Here is a 14,856-nt window from a genome sequence, read left to right on the forward strand (position 1 = left end):
GTCTTGGCTGTGTGTGTCATTGGCTGAATCTTCCTCCTTCCTTGTTTCCCCATTGTGAGTCAGGACCTATAGACAAAAAGGAGTTGGTGTAGAATTCATCTATCTAAACCCAGTACTATATGTTTCTATGTGTGTGGGGGGGTACACTTGGGGGTGTTCCTGGAATGACAATGGGTATTCTGTGATGGTGCATAGAGATTGTCACTTTGGGCAGCCACAGGCTCTCCTTTTGCACTGAACTGAGTCATGCCTGAGTTCCATGTTGCCTGCTCCAGGCCACCTCTCATCCTTAGTATCCTTCCCACTAATTTCCTGTTCCTAGAAAACTTTACTCCTACATATTTGAACTTGATATTCTATTTTGCTTTATTCATTTTACCTTCCAGATACCCCAACACATACAGACATAAACACACAAACACTCACTAAAAAGCAGATTCATTTTAAATAGTCACACACTCACATAATCACTCACACAAGCTCTATCCTCATTGGCTCAGGCAATGTTACCTTTAGCTGGGTATTCGCCATGTACAGAGAGGCCTGAAGTTGGAGGAGCAAGAGGGAGTGGAGGATACACAATGCCTCCCTTGCATAATTTCGCAGTTTTGTCTAGAAGTTAGGACATTCATATCTTTTTCACACAAATACTCACTATACAGTCTCTCTCTCTCTCCCCCATCCCTTTTTCTTTCTCTCCCTCAGAATAACCCACAGAAACAGATTTATCCAGTAATTCCAAACAAGATGTGGGTTTTAAACAGGGATTAGGATTACACAATTTAGGTGAGGTGAATAACTGGCCACCAAGTTAGGAAAGAGTAGGTAATTAAGGTATAAAACCTCAGGAGTTATAGGAGACTTAAAGAGCACCCAGTAGAGTTGCTCCATTTCTTAAATAAAGAAATTGATACCCAAAAAGTTAATTAAGGTAACCCTGAAATTATGTTTCTGCATCACCCTGGAGCATAATTCCTCAGACTCCCAGCTCCCAACTCTCTCCTGCAGCCTTGTCTTTTTTATTTCAGGGGTGACCAACAGGTTTGCAGGTCTGTGTTGAGTGGCTCTGGGATATTGTAGAATGGTCTCTAACAGTAGAAAGGATGACAAAACTTCTGAAGGGCTACAGTAACCACCGGGGAACAAACTCTATTTCTTGATAGGTTGCATGGTTCATAATATCAAAGAAGTGTGAAGCCAGTGACAGGTTACACCTGCATGATACACAGGTACTCCAAATAGGTTTTACAAGACCTCAGAGATATTTGCAAATGATAAGACAAAAATTGTCCAAAGAATCATTACAAGTTGATGAGTAGTTGTCAAACTGGCAAGAGAGAATGATGTCACTTGGGCCTGTTAGGTATGCACATGATGAGGTGGCTTCAAATTACTGCTGATTCTATGATAGAAAGTCTAGAGATAATTTCAGGACCAATCACAATTAAGTAGGATGATTCTGGGTGGGGAAGTGGACTCTATGATACAGAGCTATTACGAATGTAAAGTCATGTACTTACTTGTTCCCATTGTTTGGGGCTGCTTTTTAAAAATACAAATTTATTGTGGAAAATACATCTGTCACATAAAAATTGTGATTTAAGGCATTTTTATGTGGGCTTTTTTGGCATTCATTCCATTTACGATGTTGTATGTCTTTGTTTATATATATATATATGTGTGTGTATGTGTATGCATGTGGGTTGGTGGAAGATTAAAAAAATCCCGATACTTACTATAGCAAAATATAAACAGTGGTTATTTCTGGCTGTTTAATGTTAGTGTTCATTTAATAGCTATCTGTTTTATACATTATTAATTATATAATAATTTTTTTTTCTTTTTTTTATTTTTTGAGATGGAGTCTCGCTCTATCACCCAGTCTGGAGTGCAGGGGCTCAATCTTGGCTCGCTGCAACCTCTGCCTCCCTTTCTTTCAGATATTGCTAAGTAACAAGAATAACGTTCTTCTAGCAGTAGCCTTGCCAGCCAGCTCCTGTAATCTTACCTGCATATCCTGTTACATATTCTTCCTGGGGTTGAGAGACATAGCCTTCAAGTGTCCAGAACTTTTCACGTTTCCACAAAGCCCGCCTCACCACTGTCCACCACCACATTGTCTCTCCTCAGTGTCTACCTCTTCAGTAACCACCTAGACAGTGTCTGCCCAAGTCTACTTTGAAACCTTCTTCATCTGGCCAGCAGCAACACATTCCCCAAAGCAGTCTCAGAAGCTGGCAGGGGGAAAACATGACAAAGACAAATGGATCCTCCTTCTCATGACTCTCCATCAAATGTTCTTCAAAGCCTGAAATGGTGAAGAAGGCCTCTTCACCAAGCTTCAGTCTCTGATCTCCCTGGGATGAGGCTAAACTAAGAGAAGGATTCTTTCCTGAATTTATTGTCATGCAGCATTCCAGGGTAAGCGAGGAAAGGACAAGCCCCAGCCACATCAACTTTTCTGGAGTCTCCAAAGAAAGAACTTAAATCAAGTTCAACTTTCTTACAGTGATCTGTCCAACTTTCTGTGCTCTGGGCATTGATTTCCATCCTTATAATGATTGTGTTTATATATCCACTTCCTGAATTATGTGCCTCTTTCATGATTGTCTTAACCTGATTCCTACAGTAAGTTGTGCCTGACACTAATGCCTCATAGGCAGGAAGTTTATTTGGGAATGCAATCCCAAGGAAGAGGAATAATGGACAAAGGGAAATACAAGAGGGAAGGAATGTCCATTCAAGAAGGCATTACCATTTTGCACATCACCCAGAACAGCTGACAGTCAAGTCCATGGGACTTTTTTTAATAGCAACTCAGTAAATTTATTGACTTATTTTAAGACTGTAACAATAGAATTGTTTTCATTTTAGCACTTAGTCATTTATAATTGCAAAGACATTGCCTTATCGGTCCTTGGATAATGGGAAAAGGGAGAGAAAGTGACTATGTAACTTAATTAGCATATATGATGTCAGTTAATGATTATTGAACAATCCCTGTACCAGTTACTGTTGTAAACACTCTACTGTTATTAACCCATTTATTCCTCCCAGAAACACTGTGAGATACCTACTACTATCTTCATTTTATGTACAAAGAAACTGAAACACAGGTTAGGGTAATAACTTGCCCAGAGTCACCAATAGTTCAGCTGGGACCAGAACTCAGTAAGTCTGGCTGCAGAGTTCACACTTGTAACCATTATTTTACACTCACTTCTCAAACATAAAGTACCTAATATGGGTGCTGTACTGATAGCTCAACAATGGTTAGTTCCTCCCAACCATGTGCTTTCTTCCTGAAATATTTTATTATAATTACTACAAAGCCATTCAAAATTGAATGCTGAAACTTGTGTCTTACCTCTTTTTTTATTGGGTCATATAGTAGTCCCCTTCCCCCCTCCCCCCTCCCTCCTTCTCCTTCTCCTTCCTCGTCTTGTTTGTTCCAGAAGCACACATGCAGGCTTGTACATGAGTAAATAACGTCCTGCTCAGGGTTGGTGTACAAATGATTCCATCACCCAAGTTGTGAGCACAGTACCTGACAGGTAGCCTTCCAACCCATTCCCATCTTCCACCTTCCCCCCAAGCACTCCTGAGTGTCTATTGTTCCCACCTTTGTGTCCACGTGCATTCAATGCTTCGCTCCCACTTATAAGTAAGAACATGCAGTAGTTGGTTTATTCTTGCATTAGTTCCCTTAGGATAATGGCCTTCAGCTTCAGCTATATTGTACAAAGAACATATTTTAGCAAAGACATGAAATCAATGAAGATGCCCAGCAACAGTGAACTGAATAAAGAAAATGTGGTACATATACATACATCATAGAATACTATACAACCATAAAAAAGGTCCATGGATGGGACTTTCTGATGATCTTTAAGAAGTAGTCTCAGAACTCTCTGTCCTGGAGATGAAGGCAGGAAGTATTTATCCATTGTCTTATTTCACTTCCCCTCACTATCATCATTTGTCAAATCTGGGCCCATATGTATTGACTCCCCCACACTTCCCAGTTGTACACACAAAAGCATTCCATGAGTGCCCTGCACTGCAGTATCATAGGAGCCCCAGATCAAGAAGAAAGAGGTATGTAGTATGGTCTGCAGAGCAACTTTATCAGGTATCTCCTGCACAAAGCCCATCCAAGCCTATATGAAAAGAGCCACATGACTGTGTATGGATAAAAGGCAGGGCAGAGAGAATTTGTAGGGATATCCAAGAGGTGTCAAGTACAGTTAATCAGAAAGGTCAGGCTTTGATGTTAATAAAAACAATCAGCAGCATTATTTCATCCTGAGAAGGACAGACATAAAAGTCAGAGGCATATGGGGAGATGTTAGTTGCAATCTGCAGCCATATGGCTTCCCAGTAAATCCGTGGCTGATCCAGCACTACTGATGAGGAAATTGAGCTTTCTTGTACAGTGAAAAAAAAAAGCAGCAGGGGGATCTTTACACCTAGCTATTCAATGTAATTTAGAAAAAAACAGCAGAAGAGTAAAATGAGAAAGTCTAGAAGCTAGAATGAGAACAGTGCTGACTGAGGGAGAGGAGATATGTCAAGTGAGTGCATCAGGTCAACACCTAAACAGCATATTGAATGAAAGCTCCCCCAAGACATGTGGGTCTAGGAAAGACATGGGAGGCAGGGGCCCAGCCTCAGAGCTGAGGTTCAGGTCAGCCAGGTCCTGGGCCTGGCGGCATGGAGGACCGAGAAGCAGGAAGCAGGTTGCCTTGGACCTGATAATCCCACCATATTGCAAACAAAGTGTGCTTATAATTTCCTTCGTAGGGTCTACAGGGAGCAGGTTTGAGGAAAGGCTTGTGTCCAAGTCTAGAAAAGAGCTCAACTGATGCAAGAGGCATGGTGATGACAGTGGCCACAGACCAAAGTGAGGTGACTACTTAAACAAGGAGAGAGAGAAATAGATAAGTGGATGTATTCATCCATTTTCATGCTGCTGACAAAGACATAACAGGGACTGGGCAATTTACAACAGAAGAGGTTTAATGGACTTACAGTTCCACATGGCTGGAGAGGCCTCACAATCATGGCAGAAGGCAAGGAGAAGCACATCACATCTTATATGGATGGCAGTAGGCAAACAGAGAGCTTGTACAGGAGAACTCCTCCTTTTCCAAAACCATCAGATACCTTGAGACGTATTCACTATCATGAGAACAGCACTGGAAAGACCTTCCCCCATGATTCAATTACTTCCCACCGGGTCCCTCCCACAACACGTGGGAATTCAAACTGAGAGTTGGGTGGGGCAACAGCCAAATCATAATGGATAAAATGACAGAAATATCTGTCTCTTGCTAAGCTCTTACAGCTTTTCTCAGCTTATACCATGAGGCCTGCCACAAGGAAGGATTTCCCCTATAAAAAAATTTCCTGATAATTCTCAAAACAGCCTCTGGCGTCTCTTCACGAATAACATCATCCACCCATCTCTCCATCCTTCCATTCATTCAGTTATTCTATAATTGTCAATTCTCTGAGCAGCTACTACACACCAGGCATCACGTGAAGATGGAAGGTAGAACAATGGCTAAGCAGAGGAACTTCTGGTGGTAGCTGGCTGGTCCTGGGCTCAAGTTCATGAGAGGTGACACAGCTGTGCAGCCAGCAGTTGCTCTACAAACATTTAGATGAGTGAAAATAATGAGGGAGGGACCATCCGACACCTGGATTTGAAGGATAGTTTGGATTTTCCAAAAACCACACTTGCAACAGGTTGTGTACTGCAGGTAGACCTGGATTAGTGACCTAAGTTTCATCTTATCTTGAGGAGAGTGAACTTTGATATAAGGGCTCAGGGAATCCCAGCTCCTTTGTTCCTTCCCATGTTGGCTGCAGAGAAGGGATTCCCCATGATAGCCAGGGTCTTCAGGGCCTACTGTCACAATGTACAGAATAAATGGATGGACTAAAAGGGCCAGGTTGCTCCAGAGCTTCCGAACGTGACCATTCTTCCCAGAGTTTCACTGCTCCGAACTCTCCTTCACAGACTGAGGTCAGCCTGCCCCTATGTTGTTTACCCTGAGTTCCTCCTTGGAGAAAAGGCTTTTTAGAACCGAAATAATCATTTTAGTTTTTCCTTTCCCCTGCCAGGCACGAGTATACTGAGTGATGGATTAACAGAATATTACTATTTTTCACCTAGCCACCATGCCCTTGGCCTCCCAGAATAACCAGAAATACCTATTGTTTATCTCTACATCCACTTCATATATTAAACAGCCCTACAAGTGTCACCTGTGCTGAGGATTAGACTCTTCCAGAAGATAGGACAGTTTCTGGTTCCAGCAGCCCCAGAATGTCTTCCTTCTCTCTCTTTCAGCCCACACCACCCTTCCTGTAAACACTACACCTGGGAGCAAAGGGTGTTCAGGGGGATAAAGCCCAGGTGACATCCTTGTCAGACAGCAAGTGCCACAAGTTTCATCACAAAAGTTGAGTCAACAGGTGGGTGAGGGAAGAGGGGTGAATCACATCTGACAGGTAAGGAATGTAGGCACAGCAGCCCAGATGGATCCTGTTTCCTTGAGGCAGGGCTTGTTCCATGCATAAAAAGCCAGTTGGCTGGGAACACTACACCAGTTCTAAGGGACCATACAGAGTATTCCTCTCTTCACACCAGGTGAGTCTCTTTACTTGGAACTCTTTAGCATCCATTCTAGGTATTTAATTTTTATTAGAGTCTCCTTGGCATTCTTGGTATTTTTTTCCCTCATTATTGAATTTGATCATAGCCATGCAGACTGTTCAACTGAATTATAACCTCTAGGAATATCTTCATTTTAAAAGTGTTCATACTGTAGGCTTGAAGAGAATTTAGACATTATCAGTTCTTCATTCACTCTTTCTGTGTCAGCAAGAAGGGGGTTGGTTTATTCAAGGATCCATAGTAAGTTTGTAATGGGATAATGACTAGAACCCAGGTCCACAGCACTTACCCTGGCATTATAATTCCTTCTTATTTATAATTTTAATACAGAGAATTTTATTCTTTCAACAGATACTTTTGTGAGAGCTTACTATATTTGGCAATTTGTTTGCAAAGAAATAATTTAAGCATCTATGATACTACAATTTAATCAGGAAATAAGAGCTAAAATGCATTGTATAACAGTAACTTATCAGTGCCAGGTGATTAGGGCAAGTTCTGTGACAGTTTGGGAATAGAGAGATTTCTGGAAGGTTTTTTCTAGAGAAGCCACTAAAAGTCCCATATGAAGCGATCTGTGGAGTTTGGTTAGTGCTTGAATGAGTAGGAACAAGGAAAACATTTAAGACAGAGGAGAACTTGAGCCAGGCCACAGGTGGGATTGCTTGGGGTTCTAGAGAGGTCAGAGTTATACAATAGATGATAAGCCATGCTATTTATCAGAAATGAGTGAGTAGATTTAATTTGTTAGGGTTTTTTTTTTCCAAAGAACCTCACATTTCCAATGGTCCAGTATTATGAGTCTCATATTCCTGCTAGAAGCCTGTTATTGTGCTGTGTAGGAAGAAAGAGAGCACCAGGAGAGGCCCTGCTCCAGTGGAGCAAGAGCAAATCATCTTTAGGTTCCTCTTCTTCAAAGGCTCAGAAATTAAATTAAGTATTCTTTGTGGTCAAGAAGGGGAAAGAACATAGCTTTTTAAGAGACCAGAAGTGGTATTCACCATGGCTTCTTCCCTATTATTCTCTGCTTAAATCATCTGTTCTGTGTCCAGGACCAGTCACTGTTGCAGCATGAGTTCCCAGCAGCAGAAGCAGCCTTGCACCCCACCCCCTCAGCTTCAGCAGCAGCAGGTGAAACAGCCTTGCCAGCCTCCACCTCAGGAACCATGCATCCCCAAAACCAAGGAGCCCTGCCACCCCAAGGTGCCTGAGCCCTGCCACCCCAAAGTGCCCGAGCCCTGCCAGCCCAAGGTTCCAGAGCCATGCCACCCCAAGGTGCCTGAGCCCTGCCCTTCAATAGTCACTCCAGCACCAGCCCAGCAGAAGACCAAGCAGAAGTAATGTGGTCCACAGCCATGCCCTTGAGGAGCCGGCCACCAGATGCTGAATCCCCTATCCCATTCTGCGTATGAGTCCCATTTGCCTTGCAATTAGCATTCTGTCTCCCCCAAAAAAGAATGTGCTATGAAGCTTTCTTTCCTACACACTCTGAGTCTCTGAATGAAGCTGAAGGTCTTAGTACCAGAGCTAGTTTTCAGCTGCTCAGAATTCATCTGAAGAGAGACTTAAGATGAAAGCAAATGATTCAGCTCCCTTATACCCCCATTAAATTCACTTTCAATTCCACTCTTGACTGTGTGTCATTGACTCTACAACTTCATTCCTTTCCCTCGTGAAGCGGGAGCTGTACACAGAGATGAGTTGGTGAAGAAGGGCTTTGTCCAGAAGGCATCTGATGCTCACATTAGGAGGGTGAAGGGCTGCCCCCACAAGCATTCCTGGGCTGCCTATGGGAGGTTGTGTAATGCCACCTAGAGGCTGTTGCTTTGGGCATCCAGGGCTGGAAAAGGGCTCTCCTCTTGCAACTCAGTGAGTCATGCTAGAGTTTAGTTAGCACTTGTCTAAGCTGACTCTGACTCACTAATCCTGATTGCCTTCTCTCCAAATCTGGCTTTTAGACTGCTAACTTACCAGCCAATTCCTGTTTATTTCAAGTAATGTTGTTCCTACATATGCTAACCTGCTCCTTCTCACTCATTTCTCTGATATCTACAACCTAGATTTCCAAACACCTCCAAAGATGCACAGACTCCGTTCTTTATCTCAGTTAGTCATTTCTAGTTTCTGAGTGCCAACTCTGGACCTGAAACAGAACAAAGGGGATTTAAGGTGCTTGCCAGGGGCATTTACAGTGCCCTGGAGGGATATACTTCACTCCCTACCCCACCCCTCATTCAAACACACATACACACATATACAACCACACACACAAGATCTGGAGTCCTCACAGAGTAATGCACAAAAGCTGATCCAGTTTGGAGACTGTTTCTTTCACATAGGTGGGAACCATGGAAGTGAGAACTGTAAAACCCACCCTCACCCCTCTCCCTGTAGTATCAACATGTTTCAAGTCAAATTAAACAAGATAGAGTTATCAACAGTGTATTCATATATATATGCATATATTTTTATATTGATGGAAAAATAGGTTGCTCTTGTATGTAACTGGGAGACAAAGCAAGTTGTTCTGCAGTAGCATAAAAGAGATTCTTTTTCTTAGGATGCAAAATGAAATAATAAAAAAATTACATGCCATTGGTATAACTCAAGAAATTGTGATATTTTTGATCACGGCATTTTTACTTGATTGCATTATTTAAAATTACAAAGCCTATATGAAAAATATTTGCCCTAAATGTTGTATTGCCCTAAGGGTTTTTTTGTTTAATTAGTAGGTAAAATCTACCATCATATCCAAATATAAGTGCCTCTAGCACCTAACCAATTAACCAAGCAGAAAAAAAAGTGTTGTAATCATGCGATTATTAGTCAGCATAGGTCAGCTGCTATAACAACACCCCCTATATTGTTGGGGCTCCATCAAGTAAAAGTTACTTTCCACTCATATAAAAGTCCAATATGGGTTTGTAAAGTCTTTGTTCCACATAGTCATGAAGACACACAGTCCTTCCTTCCTATGGTCTCACTATCTCTGAGTGCTGTGCTTTATGAATCCAAGCACAAGAACAGGGAAATAGACTGAATATAGAGAAGGTGTCCCTGCACTTATCCACTTGGAACAAGAAATGGCATGTATCCCCTCAGTTCTTATGGACTTGGCTAGAACTTGGTCACATAGCCCTGTCAACCTCACAAAGTTAAGAAATGTCGTTTACTGCTGTGCTTAGAAATAAGAGGAAGACAGAGATTTGGGTGAGCTCCTCAAGCTTCAGCCACAGAATAGCCTTCTTGTTCTCAAATATCCATCTGCTCCTTTGTCTCATAAGCAGAACACAATCCCGTAAGGAAAAAAAGCCTTATGGTCCCCATCAGCTCAAAATCTAGGATCTCTAGATGACATGAAATTCTCTCCATTACATTTTCCTATGGCTCCTTTTGTTCAGCAAATTATGAAACAAACAAATGGGCCATTTCTTCCTGTTACCCAGCATCCAATGGCAATGCAGGTACAGGAGAGCTAAATCAAAACTACCATGTTCAAAGGAAGATAATGGTGACACATGGCAGCCACTAGGCCTTAGTACTCTGAAATCCAACTGGGCAGGCATTGTGAAGCCACACTCTTCCCACTCCAATATACCAGAAGTGGTAGAAGTTCCTTTTAAGGTATTGATTCTGTTCTCTGAAAGGAACTCCTTTTAACTTTCCTATTCGTTGTTCTGCCACCCGTAGAATTGTCCTTTTCTTAGTACTATTCTCTATAATCAAACCTCAAGTGTGCATTGTGGATTGCGCCCTTCTTGGTTAGGTAAGCTTTGCAGCTCACTTTTCTTTTTTAAGTTTTTTATTTTTTTCTTTTCTATAATTTCAACTTTTATTTTAGATTCAGGAGTCGATATGGTTTGGTTCCGTGTCCCCATCCAAATCTCCTGTGGAATGATAATCCTCAATGTTGGAGGAGGGGCCTGGTGGGAGGAGATTGAATTATGGCAGCAGACTTTGCCCTTGCTGTTCTCATGATAGTGAGTGAGTTCTCACAAGATCTGGTTGTTTAAAAGTGTGTAGCACTTCCACCTTTGCTCTCTCTCCTGCTCTGCCATGTGAAGATGTGCCTGCTTCCTTTTTGCCTTCTGCCATAATCATAAGTTTCCAGAGGCCTTCCCAGACATGTTTCCTGTACAGCCTATGGAACTGTGAGTCATTGAAACCTGTTTTCTTTATAAATTACCCAGTCTCAGGTAGTTCTTTATAGTAATGCAAGAACGGACTAATACAAGGGTATACAATTGTAGGTTTGTTACATGGGTGTATTGTGTGATGCTGAGGCTTGGAATACAAATGAGTCCATTACCCAGATAGTGACCATAGTAACCAACAGGCAGTTTTTCAACCCTTAACCCCCTCTGTCTCTTCTCACTCTGTTACTCACCTGTGTCTATTGTTGCCATCTTTATGTCCATGAGTACCCAAGGTTCAGCTCCCATTTGTAAGTGAGAACATGTGGTATGTAGTTTTCTGTTCTCACATTAATTTGCTTAGGATAGCAGCCTCCAGCTCCATCCATGTTACTGCAAAGAATGTGATTTCATTCTTTTTTATGGCTATGTAGCATTCCATGGTGTATATGTACCACATTTTCTTTATCCAGTCCACTGTCGATGGGCACCTAGTTTGATTCCATGACTTTGCTATTGTGAATAGCACAGCAATGAACATACAAACGGATGTGTCTTTTTGGTAGAATAATCTATTTTCTTTTGTATATATACTCAGTAATGGGATTGCTGGGTGAAATGGTAGCTCCATTTTAAGTTCTTTGAGAAATCTCCAAATTGCTTTCCACGATGGCTGAACTAATTTACATTCCCATCAACTGTGTATAAATGTTCTGTTTTCTCCACAGCCTTGCCAGCAACTGCTGTTTTTTGACTTTTTAAATAATAGCCATTTTAACTGGTGAGAGAGGGTATCTCATTGCGGTTTTGATTTACATTTCTGTGGTGATTAGTGATGTTGAACATTTTTTCATGTTTTTTGGCCACTCCTATGTCTTCTTTTGAGAAGTGTCTGTTCATATCTTTTGCCCACTTTTCAATGTGATTATTTGGTTTTTGCTTGTTATGTTGTTTAAGTTCCTTTTAGATTCAGGATATTAGACCTTAGTCAGATGATTTACAGATATCTTCTCCCATTGAGTAAGTTGTCTGTTTGCTCTGTTGATAGTTCCTTTTGCTATGAAGAGGCTCTTTAGTTTAACTAAGTCCCACTTGTCAATTTTTACTTTTGTTGCTATTCTTGTTAAGAACTTGCTCATAAACTCTTTCCCAAGACCAATGTCCAGAATGGTGTTTCCTATGTTTTTTTCTAGGATTCTTATATTTGAGACATTATATTTAAATCTTTAATCCATCTTGAGTTAATTTTTGCAGGTGGTGAAAGATAGAGGTCCAGTTTCATTCTTCTGCACGTGGCTAGCCAGCTATCCCAGCAGCATTTATTTAATAGACAGCTCCTTACATGTTCGTCATTTTTGTTGACATTGTCAACAATTAGATGGCTGTAGGTGTACAGCTTTATTTCTGGGTTCTCTATACTGTTCCGTTGGTCTACGTGTCTGTTTTTGTATCAGTATCATGCTGTTTTGGTTACTGTAGCATTATAATATAGCTTAAAGGCAGGTAATGTGATGCCTCCAGCTTTGTTCTTTTTGTTTAGGATTGCTTTATCTATTTGAGCTCTCTTTTGGTTTTATATGAATTTTAGAATAGGTTTTTCTAATTCCGTGAGAAACTGCGTTCATAGTTTGAAAGGAATAGTGTTGAATCTGTAGATTGTTTTGGGCAGTATGGCAATTTAACAATGTACAAAATCAGTAGCATTTGTATACATCAATAAGGTTCAAGCTGAGAGTCAAATCAAAAATGGAATCCCATTTACAATAGCCACCGAAAAAAAAATAACTAGGAATACATATAATCAAGGAGGCGAAAGGGAGAATATACAACATCTCTACAGGGAGAACTATAAAGCACTTCTGAAAGAAATCATAGATAACACAAACAAATGAAAAATTCCATGTCTGTGGATTGGAAGAATCAGCTCACTTTCTAACCAAGTGTGGTTTAAGGCTCTTGGAAAGCTGTTTTGCTTCATTTCTTTTTGTTTTGTTTTAAGATCTAGCTTTTGATTACTTTGGGAATATGATTCCTCAAAAATTTAGTAGATTTCTAATCTATTTTCTTCTAGCCAGTTCTATATGCTAGTAACTATACCCACATTTCTTCATTTCCTTCGCAGATGAAATTCTTGTGCTTATTTATTCCTTCTTTTTTCCATGTCTGTCTTCCTCAACTGTGGCTTCTTTGACACTCTTTGGAAAAATAAACGTAGGTGGGATGACATTAAAACTTAATCTAATCTTAAGTGCAAACCTGAGTTTTAATGAACTTTTGTCTCTCAAAATTATTCTCGATTTTATCTCTTTCTATTTAAAAGTAATTGAGTTTCCCAACTCTGCAGATTTTTGGTTTCCCTCTATTCTCTTGCATTTATGTTTACAAAAGAGCCCATTTTCTTTGTTTTTAAAATACCTTTATTGACACAGAATTTACATACCATGAAATTCACCCTTTTGACGTGTACACTCAATAGTCCTTAGTAGGTTCACAGTTATACAATTATCACCACTAATTTCAGAATCTTTTAATCACTCCTCCAAACAACTCCATACTGACAAGTTGTTAATCCTCATTCCCCTGCCCCTAGACCCCTAGAAATCACTAGTCTACTTTCTGGTTCTATAAATTTGCCTATTCTGGACATTTCATATAAATAATATTATACAATATGTGGTCCTTTGTATCTGGCTTCTTTAACTTAGCATAATATTTTAAATACTGATTTTTGTTGTAGCGTGTATTAGTATTTCATTCCTTTTAATTGCCATATTTATGTCCATGAGTACCCAATGTTTAGCTTCCATTCATAAGTGAGAACATGTAGTATTTGGTTTTATGTTCTCACATTAATTTGTTTAGGATAATGGCCTCCAGCTTCATTCATGTTGCTGCAAAGGACATGATTTCTTTCTTTTTCATGGCTATGTAGCTTTCCATGATGTATATGTAATTGTATGTATTCAATTGTAACTTTTTAATTTACTTGTAACTTTGTACCCATTTAATTATTATTTAATCATAATTAAATTGTATTACTTGTATTGTATTATTATAATACAATTAATTGTATTATTTAATTATAAATAAAAATTATAATTCATTATATTTATTTAATTGTAACTTTATACCCGTTTAACTGTAACTTTGTACCCACTAACTAACCTCTCCCCATCCTTCCCTCCCTCCCCTACACACTCCCCAATCCCTGACAACCACTGTTCTACCCTCCACCTTCATGAAAGCAACTTTTTTAGCTCCAACATATGAAGGAGAACATACAATATTTGCCTTTCTGTGTCTTACTTATTTCATTTAACATAATGTTCTGTAGGTTCATCCATGTTGTCACAAATAAGATTTTATTCTTTTCATTGCTGAATAGTGTTCTACTGTGTATATAAACCATATTTTCCTTATCCATTCATCTGTTACTGAACACTTAGGTGGATTCCATTTCTTGGCTATTGTGCAAAGTGCTGTGATAAACAGGGGAGTGCAAATATCTTTTTGATATACTAATTTCGTCTCTTTTGGGTATACACCCTGTAGTGGGTTTGCAAGATCATATATTACTTCTATTTCTAACTTTTGAGGAAACTTCATACTGGTTTCCGCAATGGCTGTACAGGTGGTATTAGGTTTTCTGTTTCTGATTTTGTTGGCTTAGCATAATGGCCTCCAGTTTGATCCACTTTGCTACAAAAGACATGATCTAATTTTTTTATAGCTGTGTAGAATTCATGGCGTATATTTATCACATTTTTAAAATCCACTCTACTATTGATGGGCTTTTGGGTTGATTCTATGCCTTTGCTATAGTGAACACGGCTGCGATAAATATACACATGCATGTGTCTTTATGGTAGAATGATTTATATTCCTTTGGGTATATACCCAATAGTGAGACTGCTGGGTCAAATAATAGTTCTGTTTTAATGATGATGTACTGCTGCTAATAGACTACTATCAAATGAGTAGTAATGATATGTCAGAAATTGTGTCAACTGAATTCCTGATATTAATTCCATTTTA

At 40.0% G+C, this 14,856-nt stretch overlaps 1 protein-coding gene across 1 annotated transcript; it reads left to right on the forward strand.

The window, feature by feature from the left end:
- The first annotated feature begins 6,613 nt into the window (after positions 1-6,613).
- Positions 6,614-8,311, forward strand: SPRR1B (small proline rich protein 1B). The gene is made up of 2 exons (NM_003125.3): positions 6,614-6,658; positions 7,738-8,311. The coding sequence occupies exon 2, from the start codon at positions 7,757-7,759 to the stop codon at positions 8,024-8,026; it is 270 nt and encodes an 89-aa protein (NP_003116.2). The 5' UTR covers positions 6,614-6,658; positions 7,738-7,756; the 3' UTR covers positions 8,027-8,311.
- Positions 8,312-14,856: the final 6,545 nt, after the last annotated feature.

This window comes from Homo sapiens, chromosome 1 (assembly GCF_000001405.40).
Source record: "Homo sapiens chromosome 1, GRCh38.p14 Primary Assembly".
Taxonomy (NCBI): Eukaryota; Metazoa; Chordata; class Mammalia; order Primates; family Hominidae; genus Homo; species Homo sapiens.

Bases quoted from the DNA above. Each gene is read 5' to 3' on its own strand.
- SPRR1B (NM_003125.3), top strand. From the start codon at position 7,757: ATGAGTTCCCAGCAGCAGAAGCAGCCTTGCACCCCACCCCCTCAGCTT.